The sequence below is a fragment of the Homo sapiens genome, chromosome 1 (genome assembly GCF_000001405.40).
Source record: "Homo sapiens chromosome 1, GRCh38.p14 Primary Assembly".
In the NCBI taxonomy this organism is placed as follows: Eukaryota; Metazoa; Chordata; class Mammalia; order Primates; family Hominidae; genus Homo; species Homo sapiens.
In genome coordinates this window covers 8,106,239-8,119,283 of record NC_000001.11, presented here as the reverse complement: position 1 = coordinate 8,119,283, position 13,045 = coordinate 8,106,239, and the positions used below count along the sequence as shown (strand labels likewise).

The window sequence follows — 13,045 nt, the reverse complement described above, 5'->3', positions numbered from 1 at the left end:
AGGTTTCTGTGAGGATGAAAAGAGCCAATGCAAATATAAAGTAGTGCCTGGCACATAGTAAACACTCAATAAATGCCAACACTTGTCACAATAATATCGTTACAACATTTTTTTAAAAAGGGTTTTATACTTGGAAAAGAATGTAAACTTTTTAAAAGCTGCAATGAATAAATCTGCAGCCAGACCAAAGATGTGCACTTTGTATTTAATTTTTTTTAGATTTTTCCCATCATTGGCTAGATGTACACATTCAAATTTCTTTTCTTTCTTTTTTTTTTTTTTGAGACAGAGGCTCGCTCTGTTGCCCAAGCTGGAGTGCAGTGACGCAATCTTGGCTCACCACAACCTCCAGCACCTGGGTTCAAGCGATTCTCCTGCCTCAGCCTCCTGAGTAGCTGGGATTACAGGCATGTGCCACCATGCCCGGCTAATTTTTATATTTTTTAGTGGAGATGGGGTTTCCCCAGGTTGGCAAGGCTGGTCTTGAACTCCTGACTTCAGGTGAGCCACCCGCCTCGGCCTCCCAAAGTGCTGAGATTACAGCTGTGAGCCACCGCACCCGGCCTCAAATTTCAAATAATTCTTATCAACATGAAAGTTTGACCTTCTTTTTTAGACCATAAAGGAGCATTTCACTGATGTGCATATTTATCTTTAAGACCCTTTTCATTGTAAGTGATGCCAACTGAATTCAAACCAGCTTAGGCGAGAAGAGCTCCGTGCAGGCCCAGGTGAGCACACTGCAGGAAAGGCAGACATAGTGTTCACATGAGGAGGGTGCGGGCCCAGAAGCTTCGCTCCACCACGACTCTGTGTGTCCTGAGTGTCCCCTCACTGTCACACACTGGGACAACACAATGGTCTCAGCTGGACTGCTGGGGTTTGAGGCTTCTTAGAGGCTTTCCTCCGCAGGAGCCCTGTCTATCAACAGCCGCCAGGCCCACGCCCTAAAAATTCCAAGAGTGTGGAGGAACGTGGATTTTCTCTCCGAGGTCCTGCTTAAAAAATCTCAAGGAAGAACTCATTGGTGAACTTTGGGTCCCACAGACCCTACACCAGGTCCTAGAACTGGTCCCTTCAGGAGAACAGAGCGGCAGAGGGGGGAGATTTATCAGAGTAATGGCAGAGAGAGAGGCTGACAAAAAGCATGAGACCCTCAGAGGCAACCAGGCCCTCATAAATGCTCCATGAGTCAGGTGTCTAGGAATGCAAAAGATGCAGCCAGGCGGGTGGCTCATGCCTGTAATCCCAGCACTTTGGGAGGCTGAGGCAGGTGGATCACAAGGTCAGGAGATCAAGACCATCCTGGCCAACATGGTGCAAACCTGTCTCTACTAAAAATTCAAAAAATTAGCCGGGCATGGTGGCGGGTGCCTGTAGTCCCAGCTACTCAGGAGGCTGAGGTTGGAGAATCGCTTGAACCCGGCAGGTGGAGGTTGCAGTGAGCCGAGATCGCGCCACTGCACTCCAGCCTGGGTGACAGAGCAAGACTCCGTCTCAGAAAAAAAAAAAAAAAAAAAAAAAAGATGCTGCAGGCTGGACATCACGGCCACGGTCGGTAACGTACATAAGGCTTGCCTTGAGACAGAGCTTGTTGTGAAAACCCATCTGTTCATTGATCTCAGAGGGGGATCCTGGGATGTAAAGGTTTCTTCATCCAGCAGCCAGGAGTGCTTCTGCTGGCTGCCCCTGCTGCATCAGGCAACAGTCTCGTCCCCCCCGGGAATGAGTTTAAAGAGGCAGGGCCATGCCGGGAAGGAAGCAGCTAACCCGGTCCTCGGGGAATGATTTCATTCTGGGGATTGATGAAAACAAACAAGTGTCTCTTTCAAACTGCTGTGCTGCGGTGGACTTTACAAAATTTCCACCATCTAAATCAGTTACAAAGTTGGGTGAACTATATATTTATTTATTTATTTATTTATTTATTTATTTTGCGTGTGTGTCACTCCGTGGAGTGACTTCCTCACACTTGCAAGTTCATTTCTAGTCCATCAGCTCTGTCTAGAAGTTCTAAAAAAGATCTTTTTAATAAATTCTGCTAAACATTGCAGAGGAATGGTTTGTTTTCGTTTGTCGTGAACTGTACAGGCCCACCTCCAGGCCTCTGGGGAACCATATGAGGCATTTTCCAAAGTTATTTCCAGAATAAACAAGGCTTGAGAGGCCAGCCTCGCTCAACCACGGCCCACAGCTTCACTTCTCTGCTCCAGGCGGGAGGAGAAACCCCTGACCTTCTGTAAATATTTCAACACAAGCAGTTCTCTGCGGGATTAGAATTTGTGTTTTTGAGTCAACTCTAAAACAGACCCAGAAAAGGCACCTTTCTGATTGTTCTATTGATATTGAAAAGTTTCAACTTTATGGTTTTTATGGCTGTTCAAGGAATTTCACATTCCAAGACCCTGGGGCAGAAAGGGCACAAAAGGAGAGTCTAAATGATTAGATGGTAGGGCCTGTTTTTACTCAGCCATGAACAAGGAAGGTCCCAGAAAAACTCTACGTGATTGAGAAATACTTTTGGCCACCAGCGCAACCTGCTAATTGGGAACACCCAATGCCCTTAATATGAAGCCTAAAAAATGAGATGGTGTCATCATCCAGGTTGTGGGGCGTGGAGGGGCCTTGGTGAGCTCAAAAGAGCACATCTGCCCGAAAAGACAGCCCTGCCCAGCGCCAGACACCTGGTGCCAATGCACACTGTCACGACACCATCTGACTTTTTAAAAGAGAAACAAGGAATCTCTAAGTTTTTGTTTTTTGAGACAGAATCTTGACTCTGGCACCCAGGCTGGAGTGCAGTGGCGCGATCTTGGCTCACTGCAACCTCTGCCTCCCACAGGTGATTCTCGTGCCTCACCTCCTGAGACTACAGATGTGCGCCACCACGCCTGGCGAATTTTTTGTATTTTTAGTAGAGACGGGGTTTCGCCATGTTGGCCAGGCTGGTCTTGAAATCCTGGCCTCAAGTGATCCGCCTGCCTCAGCCTCCCAAAGTGTGGGATTATAGGCATGAGCCACTTCACCCGCCCTCTAAGTTTTTAATATCGTAAACTAAAATTTAAGAGGTTAAGCGCCAACAACTCTGACCCCTCAAAGTTCTGGTCTTCCCATAATGACTTCTTGAATTTTTTTTCTGAAATCTCAAACATTCTTCTGATCCTGCCTTGGTGTGACACACGTGTCATCTGTATCGTCCCACATGTGGCCGGCCATGGCATGCACAGAGGCACCAGTGGGGAACCGACTCTCCAAAGAGACTCAGGCCTTGGGACTCACAGGCAGGCGCGTCTGGCATCCAGTGTTACATTCTGTGGTGTCATTGCCTTCTGTGATTCCAAAGCGTGCAGCGGTGTCCTGCTGAAAGTTACTGCCTGGTCAGAGCTCACCCCGAGAGGGATGGGAGGGAAAGGTCTGGGAAGCAGCAGAGGTAGCCTGCAGGAATCCAGGAGGTGAAGTCTGGAATCAGAGCACAAGGGCTGGCTCACATGGATTTGCAGACAAGGAAGTGGCCCTGGGGAGAACAGCCTAGAAGTGAATAGAGCTTCCTGCAGCCAGGCAGGTAGGCGCGAGGATGACTGCAATCCCATCATCAAGGAAAGTGTGACATCACAGCCAGCAAGCTCTGAACACTGGGGCTACTGAAAAAAATTAAGACACATAGACTGTGTCAGGCCCAGAGGCCAACTGAGCCAGCCTATTCACTGTCAGGCCGGGAGGCCGGCTGAGCCGGCTCTATTCACTATCAGGTCCCATTCACTGTCTCTGTTTCCCATATTCCTTGCTACTCCCAACCTTGTTTCCCCTGGTGGTGTCCACACTCAAGCTCTGCAATGATTTACCCATGCTGATGAGTGAAGAAATGCAACCCAAAGCCTCTTCGGTGCCCAATAATGGCCTAAGATGTTCACATCATATACTAGTTCTGTGCTGTTTGAATTTTTTTTTTTTTTTGAGGCAGGGTCTCACTCTGTTGCCCAGGCTGGAGTGCAGCGGCGTGTGCATAGCTCATTGCAGCCTCAAACTCCTAGGCTCAAGCTATCTTTGCGCCTTCGCCTCTTGAGTAGCTGAAATTACAAGGGCTCACCACCATGCCCAGCTAATGTTTAAATTTTTTATAGAGATGGGGTCTTGCTGTGCTGCCCTGGGCTCACACAATCTACCTGCCTTGGTCTCCCAAGGTGCTGGGACTACAGGTGTGAGCCACTGCACCCAGCCTTGATTTTTTAATTAACTAGTAGACTTTATTATTTTTTTAATAGTTTTAGGTGTACAGGAAAAGCAGAGCCAAAAGTACAGAATTCCCATATGCCCCAACTCAGTTCCCCTGTTATTAACACTTTGCATGAGTGTGGCATGTTCGTTACAATTGCTGAGCCAATCAGCACTATTAAGTAAAGTCCACAGTTCACATTAGTTTCATTCTTGGTGTTATATGTTCTATGAATTTGGACAAATGCATATTGACATAAATCCACTGATTATAGTATCATACAGAGTGTCTTCACTGCCCTAAAAATACTCTGTGGTCTATATGTGCTCTTTTTTTTTTTTTTTTTTGGAGACAAGAGTCTCGCTGTGTTGCCCAGGCTGGAGTGCAGTAGCATGATCTCATCTGGGCTCACTGCAACCTCCAACTCCTAGGTTCAAGCGATTCTCCTGCCTCAGCCTCCTGAGTAGCTGGGATCACAGGCATGTGCCACCATGCCTGGCCAATGCCTGTATTTTTAGAAGAGACAGCGTTTTGCCATATTGGCCAGGCTGGTCTCAAACCCCTGACCTCAGGTGATCCACCCATCTCGGCCTCCCAAAGTGCTAGGATCACAGGCGTGAGCCACCGTGCCCGGCTACATGCGCTTTTTATTTGGTAACTTATTCAATTTTTAAATTATTTTTTAAATATTTCCCCCCAAAAGTCAGTGTAGAGTCATCTTAAAATACACACACACACAACTGTAATCTCAGTGTGCTTGGCAGAAATCTAAGATGTAACCCGCCCCACCAAATTTCCAGGCCCCTGATATACACATACCGTCTTCCAGTTATCCAACCAAACGTGAATCTAGGTACTGCTGTGAAAAGGAGCTGCAATGTAATTAAGGTCCCAAATCAGTTGACATGAAAATAGAGAAAATACTCAGTGGGCCTGACCTAGTGACATGAGCCCTTTCAAGGCAGACAGTTTTCTCCAGATGGTCACAGAACAGGCAGTCGGGGCGGCACGGGAGGATTCTGTGCACCCCTGCTGGCCTGAACGGGCCGCGTGGTAGGGATGTGGGCGGCTTCTGGGTGCTGAGAACAGTCCCCAGCTGACAGGCAGCAAGGAAAGGGGACCTCAGTCTTGTAATACAAAGGACTGAATTTTGCCAACAAGAATGAGCCCAGAAGTGGATTTTCCTCAGCAAACGAACGCAGGAACAGAAAACAAAACACCACATGTTCTCACTTATAAGTGGGAGCTGAATGCTGAGAATACATGGGCACATGGAGGGGAACAACACACACGGGGCCCTGCGGGGATAGGGGGAGGGGGAGCGTCAGGAAGAATAGCTAATGGATCCTGGGCTTAATAACTAGGTGATGGGATGATCTGTGCAAAACCACCATGGCACACATTGCCCTATGGAACAAACCTGCACATCCTGCACATGTACCCCTGAACTTAAAATAAATTGAAGATTAAAAAAAAACAAAAAAAGTGCATTTTCCTCTACAGCCTTGAGACAAGAACTCAACCTGGTCAATACCTTGATGTCCTGAGGCTTATGATATCCTGAGAAGAAAATCCAGCCACACCAGGACAGGCCTCTGACCCACACAACTGTGAGCTCATGAATGGGTGTTGTTTTCACAGCTCAGTCAGTGCTGTTTTGTTACAGAGCAACAGGAAACGAATACTCCCTCCACGCAGATCTTTTTCTAGAGCAATTAATTATGCATACGGTGAGTGTGTATATTTTCCTTTTACATAATGGAATCCTCTTGTATATAACTATATTATAACCGGCACATTAAAAATTCGGTTTGCTAAATTCAAAACAAAACAGAAACAATTCTTGGGATTTTGATTGGAATGACATTGAATCTGTAGCTTAGCGGGAGGAGAATTGATGTATTTTGGAGGTTATGTCTTCAAAAACATGATCTAATTCTCCATGTATTTAGGTCTTTATGTCTGGCAAGCGTATTGCATAATGTTTTCCATGAAGGTCTCGCTCGTTTCTGATGTGTTTATTCCTAAGTACTATTGCAAATGGCATCGTTTGTTGTTGTTGTTTTGGAGACAGGGTCTCGCTCTGTCGCCCAGCCTGGAGTGCAGTGGTGTGATCACAACTCACTGCAGCCTCTACCACCTGGGCTCAAGCGATCCTCCGACCACAGCCTCCCAAGTAGCTGGGAGCACAGGCATGTGCCATCAAGCCTGGCTAATTTTTAGTATTATTATTTGTAGAGATGGGATCTCACTATGTTGCCCAGGCTGGTCTTGAACTCCTGGGCTCAAGCAATCCTCCCACCTCGGCCTCCCAAAGTGCTGGGATTACAGGAGTGAGCTTGTAATGATGCCATCACGTCTGCTGGCATCATTTTTATTATCTATTTTTCAGTGTTGTTAGTGTGATGATATTATAGAAATGTAATTGATCTTTGCATTTTGATTTTGTATGCAGTAACTTAGCTAAAACACTTTATTAATCCGTCTGTATATTCCTTAGGATTTTCTAAGAAGTCAATCAAATACATCTCTGAATGATTTCTGTTTTATTTCTTTCCAATTCTGTAATTTTCTTCCTTGTCTTGCTGATCTGACAAGCATCTCCATTACTATGTGAACTCAAACTGACAAGACTTGATGTCTTGGAGTTTTTCCTCATTTTCAAGAGAATGTTTGTTTTTTTTGTTTTGTTTTTGTTTTTTCAGACAGAGTCTCACTCTGTCACCCAGGTTGGAGTGCAGTGGCACGATCTCACTGCAAGCTCCGCCTCCCGGGTTGACGCCATTCTCCTGCCTCAGCCTCCCGAGTAGCTGGGACTACAGGAACCCGCCACCACGCCTGGCTAATTTTTTGTATTTTTAGTAGAGACGGGGTTTCACCATGTTAGCCAGGTTGGGTCTTGATCTCCTGACCTCGTGATCTGCCCACCTCGGCCTCACAGAGTGCTGGCATTACAGGCGTGAGCCACTGTGCCTGGCCGAGAGAGAATGTTTTTAACGTTTTACCATAAAGTTTGAGGTTTGCTGTAGTTTTGTTTGTTTTTAAAAATGGTCTTCATTACGTGAAGGATATTCTCTTCTACTTATAGTCGATTAAGTTTTTTAAATTATGGATGAATGTTAAATTTTATAATTTGCTTTTCTACATTGATTAAGACAATCACATGGTTTTTCTCCTTTAATCGACTACTGGTACAGATTACAATCGATTTTCCTGGAATAAACTTTATCTTTCTCATATAGGCATACTATGGAGATATTTTGGGTTGCATTCCAGACCACCTCAATAAAGCAAATATTAAAGTGAGTCACACTAGTTTTTTGGTTTCTCAGTGTATATAAAAGTTTTATTTAAACTATACTGTAGTCTATAAGTGTGCAATAGCATTATGTCTAAAAAATGTACATACCTTAATTAAAAATAAGGCCAGGCATGGTGGCTCACACCTGTAATCCCAGCACTTTGGGATGCCGAGGCGGGTGGATCACCTGAGGTCAGGAGTTCAAGACCAGCCTGGCCAACATGGTGAAATTCCATCTCTACTAAAAATACAAAAATTAGCCGAGTGTGGTACTCAAGCCTGTAGTCCCAGCTACTTGGGAGGTTGAAGCAGGAGGATTGCTTGAATCCGGGAGGCAGAAGGTGCAGTGAGCCAAGATCATGCCACTGCACTCCAGCCTGGGCGATAGAGTGAGACTCCATCTCAAATAATAATAATAATAATTTATTGCTAAAAAACACTAACAGTCATCTGAGCCTTCAGTGAGTCACAATCTTTTTGTTGGCAGAGGGTCTTGCCTCTATGTTGATGGCTGCTGGCTGATCACCATGGTGGTTGCTGAAGGTTGGCATGGCTGTGGCAATTTCTCAAAATGACAATGAAGTTTTTTGCATTGATTAGGACTCTTCCTTTCACGAAAGATTTCTTCGTAGTGTGTGATGCTATATGATAGCATTTTACCCACAGAACTTCTTTCAAAATTGGAGTCAATCCTTTCAAACCTGCTGCTGTTTTATCAGCTAAGTTTAAATAATATTCTAAATCCTCTGTTGTCATTTCAACAGTATTCACAGTATCTTCACCAGAAGTAAATTCCATCTCAAGAAACCACTTTCTTTGCTCATCCACAAGAAGCAACTCTTCATCATTCAAGTTTGATCATGAGATTGTAGCAGTTCAGCCACATCTTCAGGCTCCGCTTCTAATTCGAGTTCTCTTGCTATTTCCACCACATCTGCAGTTACTTCCTCCACTGAAGCCTTGAATGCCTCAAAGTCATTCCAAGGGTTGGAATCCACTTCTTTCAAACTCCTGTTAATGTGGATATTTTGACCTCCTCCCATGAATCACAAACATTTTTAATGGCATCTAGAATGGTAAATATTTTCCAGAAGGTTTTCAATTTACTTTGCCCAGATCCATCAGAGGAATCACTATCTATGTGCAGCCATAGCCTTACAAAACGAATTTCTTACGTAATAAGATTTGAAAGTCAAAATTACTGTATCCATGGGCTGCAGAATGAATGTTGTGTTAGCAAGCATGAAAACAGCATTCATTTCCTTGTACATCTCCAGCAGAGCTCTTGAGTAACCAGGTACATTGTCAATGAGCAGTAATATTGTGAAAGGAATCTTTTTCTCCTGAATAGTAGGTCTCAACAGTGAGCTTAAAATATTTGGTAAGCCATGCTGTAAACAGATGTGTTGTCATCCAAGCTTTGTTGTTTCATTTATAAAGCACAGGCAGAGTAGATTTAGCTTAAGGCTTAAGGGCCATGGGATTTTTGGAATGGCCAAGGAGCACAGACTTCAATCTAAAGTCAACAGCTGTATTCGCTCCTAACAAGAGTTGGCCTGTCCTTTGAAGCTTTGAAGCCAGGTATCGACTTCTCCTCTCTGTCTATGAAAATCCTGGATGACATCGTCTTCCGATAGAAGGCTGTTTCATCTACACTGAAAATCTGTTGTTCAGTGGAGCCACCTTTATCAAGGATCTTAGCTGGATCTTCTGGATAACCTGCGGCAGCTTCCCCATCAGCACTTGCTGCCTCACCTTTGGCTTTTATGCTATGGAGATGGCTTCATTCCTTAGACCTCATGAACCAGCCTCTGCTGGCTTCGAATGTTTCCTCTGCAGCTTTCTCATCTCTCTCAGACTTCACAGGATTGAAAAGAGTTAGGCCGGGCATGGTGGCTCACGCCTGTAATCCCAGCCCTTTGGGAAGCCGAGGTGGGTGGATCACCTGAGGTCAGGGATTCGAGACCAGCCTGGCCAACATGGTGAAACCCCATCTCTACTAAAAATACAAAAATTAGCTGGGTGTGGTGGGGCGCCCCTGTAATCCCAGCTACTCGGGAGGCTGAGAGAGGAGAATCGTGTGAACCCGGAAGGCAGAGGTTGCAGTGAGCCGAGATCACACCACTGCACTCCAGCTTGGGCGACAGAGCAAGCCTCTCTCTCAAAAGAAAAAAAAAAGAGTTAGGGCCCTGCTCTGGATTAGGCATCGGTTTAAGGGAGTGTTGTGCCTGGTTTGATCTTCTATCCAGACCACTAGAACTTTCTCCATATCAGCAATAAGGCTGTTTTGCTTTCTTATCATTCATGTGTTCACTGGAGCGGCACTTGGAATTTCCTTCAGGAGACTTTCCTTTGCACTCACAGTTTGGCTAACTGTTTGGCAGAAGAGACTCAGCTTTTGACCTGTCTCAGCTTTCAATATGCATTCCTCACTAAGCATAATCACTTTCAGCACTTGATCTAAAATATTAGGTTGGTTTGGTGCAAAGGTAATTGCGGGTTTTGCCATTGAAAGTAATAGCAAAACCGGCAACTACCTTTGCACCAACATAGAGATATGCAACTCTTCCTATCACTTGAACACTTAGAATTCATTGTAGGGTTATTAATTGGCATAATTTCAATATTCTTGTGTCTCAGGGAATAGGGGGCCCAAGGAGAGGGAAAGAGACGGGAGGGATGGCCGATCAGTGGAGCAGTCAGAACATTTACCGATCAAGTTTGCGGTCTTATGTGGGCACAGTTCATGATGCCCCAAAACAATCACAACAGCAACATCAAGGACCATTGATCACAGATCACCATAACAGATACAATACATATTAAAAAGTTTGAAGTAGTGTGAGAATTAGCAAAGTGTGACACAGAGACATGAAGTGAGCACACCCCGTTGGAAAATGGTACCAAGAGACATGCTCAACGCAGGGTTGCCACAAAACTTTAATTTGTAGAAAGTATAGCATCAGTGAAGTGCAAGAGAGTGAACCACAATAAAACAGGGTGGGCCTGCACCTTCCTTGATTCTGCTGGCAAATATGTTGCTTAGGATTTTTACAGCTATGTTCGTGAGTGAAATTGATCAGGAATTCTCCTTTCTTGTACCATTCTTGCCTGCTTTTTTAGTTTTGTGCTTATACAAATTGATTTGGGTCTCAATTCATTAGGGAGTCTTTTCTTCATTCCTGTGACTTGGAAGAGTGTGCGATACTGAGATTATTACTTCTTTGAACAGTTGGTAAACTTACCTGTAGAAATACCTGGGCTCGATAGTTCCTTGAGGAGAGATTTTATTGTCTGTTTCAATTTCTTTGTTATTTTTTTTAGAAACAGGGTCTTGCTCAGTTGCCCAGGTTGGATTGCAGTGGCACAATCACAGCTCACTGCAGCCTCGACCTCCCAGACTCAGGTGATCCTCCCACCTCAACCTCCTGAATAGCTGGGATTATAGGCACGTGCTACCGCCCCTGGCTAATTTTCGTATTTTTCGTAGAGATGGGCTTTCGCCATATTGTCCAGGTTGGTCTTGAACTCCTGGACTCAAGTGATCCTCCTTGGCCTCCCAAAGTGCAGGGATTACAGGCATGAGGCAAGGCACATGGCCTGTTTCAATTTCTTTAATGGGTTTAGAACCAGGCAGGTTTACTATTTCTTCCTGAGTCACTGTTGATAAGGTATCTTGCTCTGGTAACTTATCAGTGGATAGTCTTAAAGATGTTTACAGGGTCCTCTTATCATTTGGAGCTCTGCTGGGCCTGTATTTATGGGTCCTATTTCAGGCTTGACTTGGTCCTTCTCTCTTCTGGCCTTGATCAGTTTTGCTGAAGTGAGTGTTTCTTTTTTTGGTCTTTTCGAAGAACCCATTTTTCCTTATGAATCCTTTCTATTTCTTTGTTATCGATTTCACTGATTTCTGTTTTTATTTTGAGTATTCCCTTGTTTTTACTTTCTTCACATTCATTCCGAAGTCCTTAATCCAATTTGTTACACTGAATGCTTGGCTCACTAATTAACAGCAGCAGTTCCTTTCTAATATAAAGAAACATTTACGGCTAAAATTTTTACTCTAATTATTGCTTTAGCAAGATTCTTCCAGTTCTAATGTGTAATTATTTTTCTCATTCACTCTCAAATACTTCCTTGTTTCTATAATGATATTTTATTTTATATTACATTATTTAGAAACTTTTAAATTTCTAAAAGTATGGGGAATTTTAGGTACAATTTTGTTTTGTTTTGTTTTGTTTTTTGAGTCGGAGTATCTCTGTTGCCCAGGCTGGAGTGCAGTGGTGCGATCTCGGCTCACTGCAACCTCTGCCTTCCAGGTTCAAGCGATTCTCCTGCCTCAGCCTCCCGAGTAGCTGGGATTACAGGCACACACCACCATGCCCAGCTTTAAATGTCCCACTTCTTAATACTTTTGCATTGGAGATCAGGTTTCAACATAGGAATTTTGGGGGATGGGAGAGGCACAGACATTCAGACCACAGCATAGCATGTGGTTATTGCTTTTTATTGCCAAATAACACTCCTGTGTGGATGTACGTGACATTTTACTTATCCATTTATCTGCTGATGGACATTTGGGTCGTTTCTGCTTTTTTACTATTAGGAATAATGCCGCTATGAGCATTTGTGTACAAGTTTTTCACGGACATATATTTTCGTATCTCTTGGGTACATAATTAGTTGTGGAATTGCTGGGTCATATGGTGACACCATGTTTAGCTGTTTGAGGAACTTGCCAAACTGCTTTGCAAAGCAGCTGCGCCATCTTAAAATCCCACCAGCAGTGTACAAGGCTTTCAGTTTCTCCACTTCCTCATTGGCACTCGTCATTATGTCTTTTTTATTATTGCTTAGTCCTTTTTGCCCAACAGCTTGTACTGCGCTTGACACAGGGCATGTACTTAAATATTTAATTACAAACAATGTAATGATCTTTCTAATTACAGCATGTTTTAATTCTCATGTGTATGTTATATACATTATGGTTACATATGTTATACACAATATGGCTAAAGTATTATTATATCTTGCACCAGTCATTAAATTCCTTATTTTAAGCTATACTGCTGTTTGGGTAGAAGGCGTGAGGGAAGAGGCAGGGAGCACGTCTCACCAGTGATAGTCACAGCCAATAACCTAAGCCACAAAGGGCCACATCCGTGATGAAGGACATATAGACCAATTCTTGTCATTACACAGGCCAAGATCTAATTTCTGGATAAAAGATTAGAAAAGATTTTCATTTTACTACAGACTGATGTAGCTGATGTTAGCAATGCAGTTCCATTTTTCTCAAAGGCATTTTATTACTGAGTCAATAAGATTATCTAAATTTTTTAAGTCTACATATTTTCTATGGGTCTCAAATCTATTCTGATTTTAAATAGGGACTTTTTTTAAAAATCTTTTTTCTTTTTCCTGACTTGACTTCATGAAAAATAGGTTGTCACCACAGGACTAGATAACCATGTATTAGTCAACAATGTTTTTCCTAATAAGGAGTCTCACACTGGAATCCAAAAAAA

At 43.8% G+C, this 13,045-nt stretch overlaps 1 long non-coding RNA gene across 1 annotated transcript in view, besides 1 other annotated feature; it reads right to left on the bottom strand.

Annotated features, from left to right (window-relative positions):
• The window catches only part of ERRFI1-DT (ERRFI1 divergent transcript), a 100,578-nt gene that overhangs the window by 7,787 nt on the left and 79,746 nt on the right, over positions 1 to 13,045 (bottom strand). The gene's annotated exons all lie outside the window — the stretch shown is intronic.
• Positions 3,190 to 3,690: an enhancer, noted in NCBI's record as "H3K4me1 hESC enhancer chr1:8175654-8176154 (GRCh37/hg19 assembly coordinates)". NCBI's record gives its function as "activates a minimal SCP1, AML or CMV promoter by ChIP-STARR-seq in primed H9 embryonic stem cells {active_cell/tissue: H9 hESC(primed)}" and the evidence as "EXISTENCE:reporter gene assay evidence [ECO:0000049][PMID:30033119]".